Source organism: Homo sapiens, chromosome 8 (genome assembly GCF_000001405.40).
Source record: "Homo sapiens chromosome 8, GRCh38.p14 Primary Assembly".
In the NCBI taxonomy this organism is placed as follows: Eukaryota; Metazoa; Chordata; class Mammalia; order Primates; family Hominidae; genus Homo; species Homo sapiens.
The window spans coordinates 74,737,427-74,753,046 of NC_000008.11; the positions used below are offsets into that span (position 1 = coordinate 74,737,427).

General features: G+C 35.8%; 1 long non-coding RNA gene across 2 annotated transcripts in view; it reads left to right on the forward strand.

The window, feature by feature from the left end:
• The window catches only part of MIR2052HG (MIR2052 host gene), a 158,596-nt gene that overhangs the window by 137,670 nt on the left and 5,306 nt on the right, over positions 1 to 15,620 (forward strand). For both annotated transcript variants that reach the window (NR_197229.1, NR_033830.1), the window contains exon 5: positions 15,015 to 15,107. This is a non-coding gene — a long non-coding RNA (MIR2052 host gene). The remainder of the gene's footprint in view (positions 1 to 15,014; positions 15,108 to 15,620) is intronic.

Consider the following 15,620-nt stretch of genomic DNA (forward strand, 5'->3'; position numbering starts at 1 on the left):
TTTCGATCTTTTGTTGCTTCATTCTTTACTTGCTTTGTTGGGCGTTTTGTCCAATTCTTAGTTCAAAACGCCAAGAACCTGGACAGCTTGCAGTCACGACCCTCTACCAGTGACAACACCTCCTGCTATTTACTATTCACCACTCATGCTTCATACCTCAATTCTGATATCTTGTCACACTTTTTGGCCTAATGTCCTGATCATTCAGGGCTCAAATTCTTGTAGAGAGTCTAATCCTTCGTTCCCTTGGCCTGGATTCATGAGCCCACAACCTGACTGCTCAGATTTTGTGCTCACATTCTTAAGTCTGAATCAATATTTGTTTGTTCACTGCCATAAACAATGAAATCTTCAGACTTTTGTTTTTGTTTGTTTTTTCTTACATACATAGTTTTTCTACTTGTTGTTTTGGCCCTTCCTGTTTAGTTTTCTCCTATTTTATTCAATTCTAGTGAGACAGCTTTACCTACACAAAGCCAACCTGCTAAACATTTGAAAATATTTTGTTGGGTATAGTGAATAAATGACCAAGTGAATCTTTTATCTATTATCTATGTATGTATGTATGTATGTATGTATGTGTTATCTATGTATGTATATATCTGTTATGTATGCATGTATGTATGTATCTATCATTTATGTATGTATGTATGATCTATGTATGTATGTATGTATCTGTTATGTATGTATGTATGTATGTATGTATGTATCTATCTATCTATCCATCTACCTATCTATCTCATCTATCTTTTATAGTTTTCTGGCACTTGACATTCAAGGCCCTCAATCAACCTTCTTCCTACATGTACCGTATTTCCATTTCTCTTCTTTCCACCAACTCCTCTCTGGCAAGAATACTGTTCATCAATCTCAGTGTGCATGATACCCTTGTTTCCCCAAATGCTGGCTCACAAGGCTTCCAATGCCTTTCACCCAACTTATCTCCATAAGTTTTATTTCTAATATTCTTTCAAGGCAAAATGTAATTCTTCCTTTTTATACAAGGATTCCTGAAATTGTAATTTCTTCATGATCTGTCTTCCAAATACCTGGTGGCTCTTATTCTCTAAATTACTTATTTTACTAAGTGCCACCCAGTATAGTTACAGCTCTATATCAGAAGCCATTTTGGTAGAAGGAACTGTCTTCCCTACTTTGGGCTTATATTATTTATCTACTATGTTCTCATAACAGAGTTGGTGCTCAATGGGCTTTGTTAAAAAATCACATTAACAGTTTTTTTCTTTGTATACAGAGATTAATGCCACAAAAATGGTGAATATTTCTCAAACCTACCAATTTTCAAGATAACTCCACTTTAGACTCATGAGAAAGAGGGATCATTGATTGAAAGTAGCTTCCTACAGTGGGCATATAATCATTAAATTTCTGGAAGAAAGCTAAAACCACACAGAAAATCATCTTGAGGCTTACACGCATTCAGTCTGCCTCTGATCTAAGAGGATGTTGGCCATTAGGAGATGAAAATGTTTTGAGCTAGGAAGAAACAATGTAAAAGGCCAAGTGGCCTAGTTTAAAGTTTCTTTGTTTTTCTTTATAATAATGAATGCAATAGAAAAGTGTTGAGGTTATAAAGTTTTTAAAGTTCATTAAAGGGAGGGGATCAATAAATTAAAATGGCAAACAGTTGCTCTTAAACATGTCTTTATGGAAATTAGAGTAGTGTGTATTTATTTTGCTGTTACTAATAAGCAATCGATGTTGTGCTTGACTTCTTGAGCAGATGTAAAGTCATCATGAGATGTTTCCTTGTTTCTGTGTGGTTCTTGTGTTTAATAAAATGGTGACTTCCTTTTGTTGGCATCAGTTCTGTAATTCAGATGATCTTTTTACTGCTTTGTATCCATCCAAGTTGTGAAATCAACTATAAGCTGCTCCTTTCAGCTTGCCAGTGATGTGGAATTCTTACCATATGAACGTTCCCCAGGGTTTTTGTAAGCCTCTTTAACCTCTGGATGCACTCTATTGACAGCTTCCGAGTTGTGATAAGTATCTACCTTTTATTTCAACTTGGAGATTTCTTGAACTTATAAAATTACATTTGCTTTGGAACAAATACTTTAGAGTGCACTGAGATGGCAGGTTCATGAATTCCCCAGAACTTTCATAGGAAATGGAGAATGCAAAGGTCATGTAAATATAGTTGTAGTAATGTCTTCACTGATTGAAAAAAAATTAATATCAAACACATTTTAGTTTGGAAAGATTGCCATCAGAGTGGACAGCATAGAAGGAATACATATGTGGGTTATCTTGTGGGATGTGGTTCAAAATAAAACTATATTTTCAGATAGTTGATACTTCCTAAATCAGTATTTGGATCACATCATAAATATTTTTTTAAAAATCCAAAAAAACTCTGTGTGTGCATGTTTTGTTTGTACTATTCTCCTAGCTCTGGTTATATTTACCATCTATTTATCTAAAAATGTTCAGGGAGGGGAATAGTATGAGATCAGCAGGTTGGCAGATGGCTATACACTATTTCTAATGTTTATACACTATTCTAACGTCTAGATTTTCCACCACAATTATGCATCCATGTATTATTTATATAACTAAAATAATTTAACAAATGCACATAGTAGTATCATTCTGAATTACATTTCTGGGAAATTACAAGGAAATTTAATGTGAGCTTTGACCATGACTTAAAAAATTATTATTATTTCCTGAGATTATGGATTATATTTTTATTCTTTTTCATTAATTTCATTCAACAAAAAATTGTTTGGGCTAGGCGCAGTGGGTCACACCTGTAATCCCAGTACTTTGAGAGGCCGAGGCAGGTGGATCATCTGAGGTCAGGAGTTCGAGACCAGCCTGGCCAACATGGCAAAACCCTGTCTCTACTAAAAATACAAAAATTAGCCAGGTGTGGTGGCATGCTCCTATAATCCCAGCTACTTGGGAGGCTGAGGCAGGAGAATTGCTTGAACCCAGGAGGTGGAGGTTGCAGTGAGCTGAGATGGCGCCACTTCACTCCAGCCTGGGCAACAGAGTGAGACTTCATCTAAAAAAAAATTGTTTAACATTTGCTATGTACAATATGATATGTTAGGCATCATGGGTACTAAAATAGGTAATATATGGATCCTGCCCTTGAGTAGCTTATAGTTCATTATGAAAAACAGACATAAAGAATATAAGTAAAATAAAATTCCACAGCCACTAGGATAGAAACCTAAATAAAATACAGTTATTAAATAATCTAAATAGCTTATTAAGTACATGATATTGTTGGAATGAGACACAGTGGAGTGCCAGATACCAGATGCCAAGTTGAATACATGACCAATTCCTCTTAGAAAAATCGTCTTATTGCTTTGAACAAGTAGATAGCGTGGTCTCCAGCTACCTGGTAGTTAAGTGTTGAGGTTTGATTGTAACACTCAAATACGTTATTTCCATTTATTATTACAAAAACTCTTCTCTCTACCCCTGGGTTATGATAGTTCCAGATTAAATATCTGCATTACAGAACGTTCTCAATATTCCCAGTAGTTGTATTCTATAAAATTGCTGTAAATGCTGAATTAGCAAATACTAAATCATTGCTCCTAGTGGAAATACTGAGTTAGGCTCCTGCAAACCTTTGGTTATATTTTATCAATCTATCAACACATAATCTTGTTTCATGTGTGTTTCTGTTTAAAGGCAACTTTGTTAGTATATACATCTTACAAATAATTAATTTCATGGTCTTTGAATGATTTAAAGCCAAGAGCTTTGGAGGCTATTTGTATTATACAGGTATGTTTGCCAACATACTTGTAAAGCAAGCCAACTCAGTTTCATCAGTGTTGAAAATGTGCTCTTCCACATAACTCCTTTCCTGTATAACACTTAGCAGGTACTTTAAAAATTTTCCTGTACAGAACTTGCCTTGCCTGCATGTTTAGCATTTTTCATGCCTTATCACCTATTGAAAATGCAGAGCAGTTAGCACTAGCTAAAAAAGGTTTGACCTTTTCTAACCCTGGGAAATGTGACTGTAAATTTCTTTGGCTTTCAGCTTCAAAATAACTCTGTCTACTTCACTTTGTTGTTGTTGTTTGTTGTCATCTCATGAATCCACAAATTTAGCCCCTTCACACTGATTTTATACCTTTATAAGTACTATAGATGCTAACTTAGCATTTTCCAAGGCAGCCTTACATAAAAATTGGCAAATTTCTGCTTCCTTTTTCTGGATCTACCGTATTGTTTGTTCATTAATACTGAACTCACGGCCAACAGCAGTAGGACTCAAGCCTAAATGAATTTTAGGTAACATACATAATCTCTGTGTAAGGCACGTCACAGCCTCTTGCACTTAGGAACACTAAGCACTGCAGCACTAAGCGTGGGCGCCATTTTAAACAGTAAAATCACCAAGATAAAGCACAAAAATGTAAACAATGTGGCATGAAATGCACCACAAAAAGGACATTTGTTCACAGTATGGGCTGAAACAATAAGGCAGAGCATTGCCTTGTTCAGCCTCAGCCAGGAATGTGCTTAACAGGCAACTCAAACTTTTTGCTACTCTGTGTATACCTGTGAATGACTATGAGAGTGCTGTGAGTATCCATTTTGGGATTACAAATAGATTTTTTAAGTAAGTGAATTCACAAATACAGAAGCTCCAAGGGGTGAGGATCACTGTACGTAATTTAGAAACCCTGCCTCTTTTAGCCACCTCCTGTCCCCCCAGTTGCAGTACTAATTCCCAGGGCTCTGAACTATGAACTAAATACAAGATCACAAAAGATTGGTTTAAGGGGGAGTTCTACAAGGTCATCTTACGTGGTAACTATTCCTTTGTCAAGAATGCACTTATACTTTTTCTACCAGAGGCTTTAATGTTCCACGTAGATTGATGATAAGAATACAGATGTGATGCTCTTCACAATAGCTTACCTATGAGTAGTCAAATAATGCCATTCTTATATAAACAAACATGTTATAATCTGGCTAAAATTAAACAGGTTATCTACTTTTTTGTTCATATTTAAAAATAGAATCTATGAAGAATTATATCTGGTTAGTTGTTGCTTCATCTTTGTTGATCTTTGGATAAATGATGCCTATAATTAGGTGACAAATGTATCTCTGAGTGAGGCACCAACCACATTAAAAAAAAGAGTAAGCATTTTTGCATCTCACTCATTAGTAGTCATTGCTGGGAACTCCTTTTCTGATGGGAAAGTTGTTCCATGTCCTTTAATCTACTGTGGAAATGTTGACATCATTGCATGCTTCCCTGGAATTGCCACCCATTCTCCTTCCTCCCCAAACTCTACCAAGTTATTAGTTCTCTAGGTGTCTTTGCTGTGGTTCTTTCAATTTTATAGACATCTTGTTGGGATATGGGGTTATTATTGACTGAAGATGGTTGAACTCATGACATTTAACCAAGGGAGAAGAGATCTGTAAAAGGATTTGACTCAGAGTTTGAGCTACAATGAAGCCTATGTCTTATTCTGGGAATCCCTTGGATGTCATGGTATAAAATTTGGTTGTGGAAAAAAAATGAGACATGGTACAAAAGGCTGGACAAGGCTCAGATGGAGAGGGAGGAAGTTTCCCACTAACTATAACTAGCAGTTAGTAGGAAAGCCTATAGAATGTCAAAAAAACAAACAAAAAAAACCAACAAAAAAACACCAAAAAACAAAAAACAAAAAAACAGCAAGGAGGCTTTTGGACACACGGTAGAATAAGCAAATGTGAACAGACTAAAAACCACCTTAAAATATTAGATTAAATATAATGATTGATTTTAAAGCATAGATAAAATTAAAAGACAGGAAAATCCCCAGGTGTTATAAGAAAATAAACATAAAGAAGTAGATAAGCTGTTTAATGTTAGTGAGGTTATAGCATGTTTGTTTATATGAGAATAAAATTATTAGACTACTGAATCCCCAAGTGTTATAAGAAGTAGTAAGAAGGGAATCAAAATGAGAGGTCATGGAAAACTAATACCAAGGCATTTCACATGGGTTTCAGAAAGGACATATGACCTAGTTACTGGAGAAATGGTTACAAACACCTATAAAGAAGGGAAGTGTAATCTGAGAGTCTTTCATAAAACACAAAATCTCTAAGGATTTCCAGACCTCATAGCTTGGAAGACAATCCCAAACAATTAAGCCAAGAAAATGTAAACAAACTTACGATTTATCTGGGACTGTGTTGGAATAACCAAACATTCTGAGAAATTAAAGCTGTAGATCTGAATCACTTGCTGATGTAGGCTCTACATTTATACCACCTGGGTGGGATAGGTAACATGATCTGAAAAATCAACCTTACAACCCAGTCCCACATCACTGAAATTCCCCAGCAAAACCAAGCCCCAAACCATTATTTCATAACTCAGACCATTTTGGACTCCAACAGGATTTTATAAACCAAGGTGATCATGAGCCCACACTAATAGATTGCAAACCTCACAAGAAAATCACCATGAGCAAGAGTCAGCAGACACAGTACCAGATGAATTAATGCCACGAAACTTAAAATACTAGAACAATCTGAAAACTATTATAAGATAATTATGTTTCAAATAAATTATAAAAGTAAAAGCTGTAATTAATACAAACATCTCAAGTGCATTGTTGTGTTAATCTACAATGACTGTTTGCATTGAGTGCTTGCAAATAAGAAATAAATCCAAAGCTGATTTTTATGCAGAAGCTAAGAGAGAAAGTTGAGGAAGTCAGATTTGTTTGGGTATGTGATGAATCTTCGGGTTTGATTTTATGTCACCAGTGTCTATCCAAAAACTATAATGAAAATCTTTTTTTAAATTTTTTTATTTTTATTTTTTTATTTTTTAAACATTTATTTTTTCAATTTTTAGAGATGGGGTCTCACTATTTTTATTTATTTATTTATTTATTATTATACTTTAAGTTTTAGGGTACATGTGCACAATGTGCAGGTTAGTTACATACGTATACATGTGCCATGCTGGTGTGCTGCACCCACTAACTCGTCATCTAGCATTAGGTATATCTCCCAATGCTATCCGTCCCCCCTCCCCCTACCCCACAACAGTCCCCAGAGTGTGATGTTCCCCTTCCTGTGTCCATGTGATCTCATTGTTCAATTCCCACCTATGAGTGAGAATATGCGGTGTTTGGTTTTTTGTCCTTGCGATAGTTTACTGAGAATGATGATTTCCAATTTCATCCATGTCCCTACAAAGGACATGAACTCATCATTTTTTCTGGCTGCATAGTATTCCATGGTGTATATGTGCCACATTTTCTTAATCCAGTCTATCATTGTTGGACATTTGGGTTGGTTCCAAGTCTTTGCTATTGTGAATAATGCCGCAGTAAAATCTTACTTCATCAGGAAAATAAAACAATGGGGCCAGGAAATGAAAGAAAATTCAAAAAAGTTCTAACAAGCAAAAGTGAAGTGAGAAGGAGAACTGTGGGTAACTACTATCTGTGTCTAATAGAAATGTTTTGAAAATACAAGATGTGGAAACTACTTTTCTTCAGGAAAAGTTCAATAGTTTACGACCTCATTACAAGGTCCGGGTGTGGTGGATCATTCCTGTAATCTCAGCACTGTGAGAGTCTGAGAATTGCTTAAGGCCAGGAGTTCAAGACCAGTCTGGGTAACATAGGAAGAGTCCTGTCTCTACAAAAAAAAATGTGAAAAAATGAAAAATAGCCAGGTGTGGTCAGGAGCCTGTAGTTTCAGCTATAGGCTGAGGTGGGAGGATCCCTTGAGCCCAGAAAGTCGAGGCTGCAGTGAGCTATGATTGTTCCACTGCACTCCAGTCTGGGTGGCAGAGCTAGACCTCATCTCAAAAACAAAGCAATGCAGAAAAGATCTGATTACAAGGAAACAGTAATAATGATAAAAATGAAATATTACCACTCTAGAACATATTTTCATAATAAATGGTAAATAAGCATTGATTTATTAAATATGGCTCCATTAAACTTCTACCATTTGTCATTGTTTCTCATATATTTAAATCATTATCACATAGCATTTGATTTGGAGAAACAGAATATCTTTGTGTATGAGGCCTGATGAATCGATAGTAGCAGAATCTCCATGGCAGGCATATTATTGGAGATGATAGTCTTTATGTAAACATCACTGTGGGTTTTTTTTTCACTGTAAATAGGCATGCAAAACTACATAAAACAAAGAAAATAAAACGCATGGTCCAGGGACATTGAGGGGATTAGGGAATATATACCTGACACTTTGTTGAATCTTATGAAGGAAAAGCACTATGTGGATGGCTACAGCTATTCTGGCATTTCCTCATATGGGAAACCGTCATCAATTTCTTGAAAAGAGCCTTGCAGCAAACATCCGTGGGTACAGAGTAAGTATAGATAAAAATAGAATTCACACTGAGTAATAATCTTAGTTCAGCCTTTTGCCAGGATGACCATGTGCCAAGCAGGCTTTTAAGCACCACACATATCAACTCAGTTAGTTCTCCCAGCAATTCTATGAAGTCAACACTAATATTATTCTCATCCTACAGATGAGAAAAGTGAGGCACTGGCTTTACTTGCTCAAGGTCACACAGGTAGTTAGAGGGGGAAGAGACTGGCTCCAAATCCATGTGAACACCATGTGATGATGTCTTGAGGATGTTGTAATTAAGAAAGTGGTTTGATTCTTGACTCTTCCACAGACTTGAGGTCAATGAGATAGATTCTCTCAATCACTCGCAATGTATTAGACACGACCTTTATGTCAAACATTGCTAGGCACTGTGCAAGATGCAAAAAAATGAAACAGTTGAAATTAGCTTCTGGTAGAAATTGTTCAAGCATCAGAGATGTGCATAGTCTCTAATTCTCTCATGTGCCTGGAATAATATATGTTTAGTTCAATTAAATTCATTTCAGTTCGACTTAATGCAACTACATTGATTAAACATCTCATATATGAAGTACTTGGCGGTAGGTATAGAATGATAAATAGTCCAGCCCTAGACGTCATTGAGCACACCCTCAGTGAAGGGGACAGACACAAATAAGTAAATAACTCCAAGCAAAAGCAATATGTTATAAGAAAGGGAGAATTAAAGTGCCATGGGAATGCAGGCTGAAAGTTGTAAAAGTAATTGTAAGAGGAGAAGAAGTGTGTGTGTGTGTGTGTGTGTGTGTGTGTGTCAAAGAGTCGAGGAGGGAGGAAGAGAGAATATTTACATTTGGCCTTGCATGAGGTAGAATTTGCTAAGCAGAAAAAGGGGTAGAGGATAGAGTGGAGAGAAGAGAGAGAAGATGGAGGAGCTTAATTTAGGATCAAGGCTGTGAAGACACCATCACCCAAGCTAAATAGTTAAATTGTATTATGTTTGAAATGGAGAGCACTGGCAGGATTGAAAAAGGTAACAGTATGATCAAGAAATATCTGAAGTAGCCAACTCTGATATTAGTTGAAAGCTAAACTGAAGAAAAAAAGAGACTAGCAAAAAGAGAATTATTAAGTAGAGTTACCATGCTCTTTAAAATTTCTGTTTTACCACCCAAGCCCCCTTATATGAATTTGCTGTAATCATAGGAAAAAAGCTACCAAAGAATAAATTGATTTGAGGACACTGATCCATGCTAACTCCATTAAGAGTCACTTAATCTAGTTTTGGATATTTCTATACATATACTCTAGATGTGAACATCTAGATAATTAAGATTCTGGTCCTATATTGGTGAAAACAAAATTTCTCAGTGTGTTTGTGTACAAATCCTGGTTCCATCACTAATGAGTATGTGACATTTGGGAAGTTACTTGAACTATGTCTTAGGCTTCTCATTTGTTGACCTGGGAAAGCAACGTAACTGTTTCATAAGCTGTTATGAAGATTAAGCTGCTTAGGACAATGTTGGCACATGGTACCCATTTTATAAGCATTTACTAAAATTATCCCTAAGCATAATTCTATAAGATCCTCTAAATTTCTTTCTTACCAACAACTTTGAGAAATTGGAACTATATGTGCTTAAATAAATCAAGACAAAACAATGAGAGACTCAGAACAGTAACTCTTACATATTAGAATACATTTGCTAAAAATATGTAATAACTCCTTACATACCAAAAAACCTAAAAAGCTGCAAGCACATTTGTGAATCGTGTTATTCTCTGAGTAACATATTTTGGCCTATCATTTCTCTTTACTTACCTGACCAATGATCAGGTAGTATCAGAAGAAAAGAACAGTCACAAGAGTGACATTCTTGGTTAAGAACCTGTGTAACATCTACCTAAAGTATGTTTCACCAAGAAGGTAGATTTTGATTACATTTTACTTCTAATTTGGAAGACAATGTATTAGGAGAAAGAAAAACTTATCTAAACTGAGACAAATGAATTCCATTTAGTTCTATGTCCTTTTCAATCTATAATGTATCATCACAGTGCCTTGGGAAGTAGTCAAGTCCTACAAATTCATTCCCCCTAGAAAATTTTCCTCATGAAATGTGTTCTTATATAGTTACCACTTGAGATGATCCAAAGTATATGCATACATTTCAAATTTTTCATTCTCATGGTCTTTTTTTGCTGTTTGATTCCTTAATTTTGTTCTCATTGTCAAAGCCCACTTCTGTGATTCTTAACCAAATAAGTAAATAGGAGGCAATGGTTTCTGTTATGAATTTTATGGCCTTTGTTTTTTTAAAGAAAGTTAGTGTTCAGAGGTACTTTCTCCCATGTCTCTAACGCTGAAGGATTGGAATACAAGCCAAAATTCAAAGGCAGAAACTCAGTCAGAAGCTGGCACTTTGCCTATGACTTGATGGACCTGTTAAATAATCTTTGAGGTAAAACAGATTCCAACTACATCAAACACAGTGAAGGAGTAAGTTCAGAAAATAGTGTTCTTGGTCTAGTAAAAGTCCAGGAGTACCAGCTCTGTCCTTAAATAGGTTGAATACAATGAAAGACAGGAACTTTCACTAGTCCTATAAGCATTTTCAATCTCTCTTGTTGAACACCACTAGTGGAGACAATGAAAGAAGAAAAATGCAATATACGTGTCCAAGGATCTCTCAGGTTGCCTTACAGACAAATATTATAATTCATGGTTTTGTATAAGATATTTTTCTGCTGTTATTTTTATGTTAAGTATGGCTTTTTGGATTCTAAGAACCATATAACAAGGTGCTGCATTCCAGTCCAGCTTGAATTTTGTCTCATGGAGCTTATGAACAAGTGACAACATACCTTCTTGCACAGAAAATCAGTAACCTGCAGACTGCCCAGAGAGGGTTTCCCAGGCTTTTTCCTGTCTCTATTGTTTGGCTACTCCCAATTTCAGGGATAAAGGAAAAAATTCTTGCTGTGAAGAACTGCTGTGGAGATTCTGCAATGAGATATGTGTGAACAGATGTTTGCTTTCTACCACTTCCATGACTTTCCAAAGGCCAGATATTGATGTTTCTCTGTGGGGAGTGTAATTATGCTCTCATCATATTGACATGGAGAGAGAGAATCAGGCTTGTTGAGTTTTACAAAGTTACAAAGCTGGTGGGTCTGCTTTTCTGTTAATTGTGAAACCTGGGAAGATAATTTTTAAAACTTTGCATGCCTCTTGGATGCCATTTCAATGTATTTGCTTTTTTTGATAGCTATAATGATTATAGAATTTTTATAATAATCAATGTATCTGCAAAAGAGAAAGGAAAGGTGAGATTTGTCAAATCTACATAATATATTGAAAGGTGGTAACAGAATAAACATTGAACAAAATGATTTAAAATTGCAACATACTGTCAGCATCCTATCAGCAAACATATCTTTCTAATTATAAAAAATCCCAAATGACAAAACCATGATTGTTGATGCTGTAATTCATTTAGATTCTCTTTTATGGCTGAAAGCTCTGTAAGCTACAATATGGACATAAGAAATCTATCACTACTCTGGAATATCTCAGAGGGGAATGGATGATGCCACTTCCTATCACCAAGTTAAAAAAAAAAACAAAACTTGTAGTGCCTTTTTAGTTGAAGCAAAATTGTGATGAAAGCCAGCTGTTAAGTAATTTTCAAAATAAATGACTGCTAAACTAGTGAAAACGTCTCAACATAATTTCAAGTTCGACATCATAAAGTGAATGTGACATTAAATAAGCTTCGTAAGCCAGGCACAGTGGCTCACGTCTGTAATCCCAGCACTTTGGGAGGCTGAGGTGGGTGGATCTTGAGGTCAGGAGCACGAGACCAGCCTGACCAACATGGTGAAACCCTGCCTCCACTAAAAATACAAAAATTAGCTGGGTATGGTGTCGGGTGCCTGTAATCCCAGCTACTCAGGAGGCGGAGGCAGGAGAATCACTTGAACCTGGGAGGTGGAGGTTGCAGTGAGCCGAGATCGTGCCACTGCACTCCAGCCTGGAAGACAGAGTGAGACTCCATCTCAAAAAAAAAAAAAAAAAAGTATTGTAGGCTACATTTGGAGTAGCACTTTGACATACATTTTGAGACATTTTTGAACTAAGAGTCCATTCAAAACTCTTTCCAGTGCATATCCTTGCTCTCTTGCGTAGACCTTCTAATTAAAATGGAAGCCAGTTACATTTCTTTTCTCTGAGAGTCTCAAAGTCCAGTGGAGGGTCAGCCTGACATTTTACTTTGCTGAAACAAGCTTGTCAATGGTGACTATATTGAAATGAAAAGTAATTGTTTCATTTTGGGTGAAATAATATCATTTCAAAGCAATATCACAAATTACTGTCTGATCATTTTGAAGCGATATCTAGCAGTAATATTTTATACTGAGTGGTTTAGTCACATATGCCTTTGTAAGATATTAAACATCTAAGTGAAAAATCAAGACCATGGTTAGAATATTTTACTAGCAAATTATATTCACTGAAGAAGAGAGTGGTTCAGTTATGTAGGTGCAATTGAAAGAGGAAAGTGAAAGTCAAAGTGAAAAATCTAATTTTTTTCTCGCTGAAAAATTCAACATCTGAGATGTGTAGTAATCATAGATTTTACAATCATAAACTAATCTTACCTGTGTATATGATACTCTGCTAAAATATCATAGGAACAAGGCTTGCAAATATAATATTAAAGACAAATGTGTCAGCTTATAATGTCAAATATTAAACAAATAAGAGGTCATTTTGACAAGGAGTTGTGTTGTGTTTTGAAGGCTCTGAACTAATTGATCCTAGTCTTTCTCTTGAAAGGACAACTAATGTCAAATTTACTGTAAGAAAAGTTACTTTCCACAGTTTCAATGAAAACAGGACCATCATAACTCTTGCCTTATAACTTCATATTTCTTTAGAAACATTTAATAAGTGTAGTTTTAGCAGGTTAAGTAGATAAGGGTAACTAGGAGAGTCGATAATACATTTGTTATTAATGAGGCTTCTACATGCCATCATGTGAATATAGATATACTGGTCTTAGTATCAAAGATTTCATGAAAGAGCAAAAATTTATCTAGCACTATATTTACTATCTCTATAGAGGGGATGAAGGACAGATAATTTTTCTGTTCCAAATTATACACTGTTCACAACGTTATTAAATTTTTATTAAGAATGCTAGATAACCTAAACAGCTTTTAAAAATACAGCACATTCTCATTATTCATGGATTCTGTATTTGCAAATTTGCCCACTCATTAAAATGTATTTGTAAACACAAAATCAATGCTGGTGGCACTTACGGTCGTTTGCGGTCATGTGCAGAGTGGCAAAAAAGTTTCATTTGCCTGATGCATATGTCCTAGCTGGGCTTGAACGTGGTAACAGTCTTCTTTCAGCTCATACTATAAACAAACGTCCTTTTCATGGTGAATTTAGTGCAACATTTTCTCATTTTTGTGCTATTTCTTGCTGATTTTACTGTTTTCAATGGCCTCCAAGTATAGCGTTGCTATGCTGCCTAGTGTTTCTTAACATGAGAAGGCTATGGAAAGCCTTAAAAGAAAATATGTGTGTTAGATAAGTTGTTTTCAGGCATGACTTACAGTGTTGTTTGACTTTCAAAGTTAGATTCAACAGCATGTTAAATAAAGTGTCTCTAAAAGAAACACACATAAGACAAGTTTACGTATTAATTGGTTGATGAAAATGTTGTGACCAGAGGCTTATAGGGATCTAACTCTGTCTTTCCTGCAGAAACAGTGGTTCAGTATTTGCTACTTTGGTGTTGGCAGCATCTTTATAGAACAAAACTACTGTGAATAACAAGAATTGATAGTACCACAGTTTTTACCCCATATTATTCACAAACACAAGCAAAAAGACATCTTATGTCATGGTAAAATGAACTGTAAGAACTTGCTTGTGTGTAAACATTCCTAATTATGATGACAAATTAAATTTAGTGAAATACACAGGCCCATAATTGAGAAATGTGTAATCACTACTAGGTTAACATAGAAATACTGTATAAACAGATGACTGTAGGGATATCAAGAAGATGGTTGGTATATGGAGAGGTTTAATGATTAAATGTTCTGTAATTAATACCTTTGTTTAATCTTTTTAAGGCTCATGCAATCCAAATACATTGTCAGCAGACTTTTCAAAAACTGCTATTAAAAACAGTCTAGGCATAGTCATACATCTGTAATCCCAGCACTTTGGGAGGCTGAGACAAGAGGATCACTTGAGGCCAGGAGTTTGAGACTAGCCTGGGCAACATAGTGAAACCCCCATTTCTGCAAAAAATTTAAAAATTAGCTGGGCATGGTGGCCTCTGCCTATAGACCCAGCTAGGTGAGGGGCTGAGATGGGAGGATTTCCTCAGCCTGGGAGGTCGAGGCTACAGTGAGCCATCATCCCTCCACTTTATTCCAGCCTGGGTGACAGAGTGAGATCCTGTCTCAAAAAAAAAAAAAAAAAAAAAGTATAGGATTTTAAGAGATTAATTTTCAATTACTAATTTCAAAGGCATAGGTCTCAATTAAAAGAATTTGATAATCCTTAGCATTTGATCACATTTGGGAGCATTTTTCATTTTGTGTCTGTGAATTTCATGCACTAGGCCCGCGTTCAGTCCAGCCACCAGATCAACACATTCTCCAAACTCATTAACTTTGGAGAGGCTACCCAGAGTTCCTGAAGAGTTCATCTGAAAGTAAGTAGGAAAGATATTTTCTCTCTGACTTTTCAGCTCTTTTCAATATTTATGTACTGTGGTTAAACTGCCTTAGCCATTCAAGAAGCATTTGATTGTATCTTTGTTGAATTTTTAAAGATGTGAGTCTTGATTGCAGATGCCTAGAAAAATGCTAGATTGCTAGTAAATAAGCCTGGTAGTAACAGTCTCTCCTTGGCATTTACTAAAAACAGTGTAAAAAATGAGTCAATGATTAATTTTTCCCTTGGCTATGGACCAGAACTGAAGTTTAATAGAACACAAATTTCATAATATGTAGCAGCTGAAAAAACTTTCAGTTAAAACTGGTTCAATTTTATCTGGCTTTAAAGACTGTCCCTGAGAGCATCTCAGATTCACCTGCATGATTCCTTAAAACGGCAACTTTATGCAAGTGACTATTTAGCTCTGCAGACTGAAAGAGTTGCCATGTTGCACTGCAAAGCAAGTTAAATGGGGGAAATGTGTTTCCAGCTATGAATCTAATCAGAA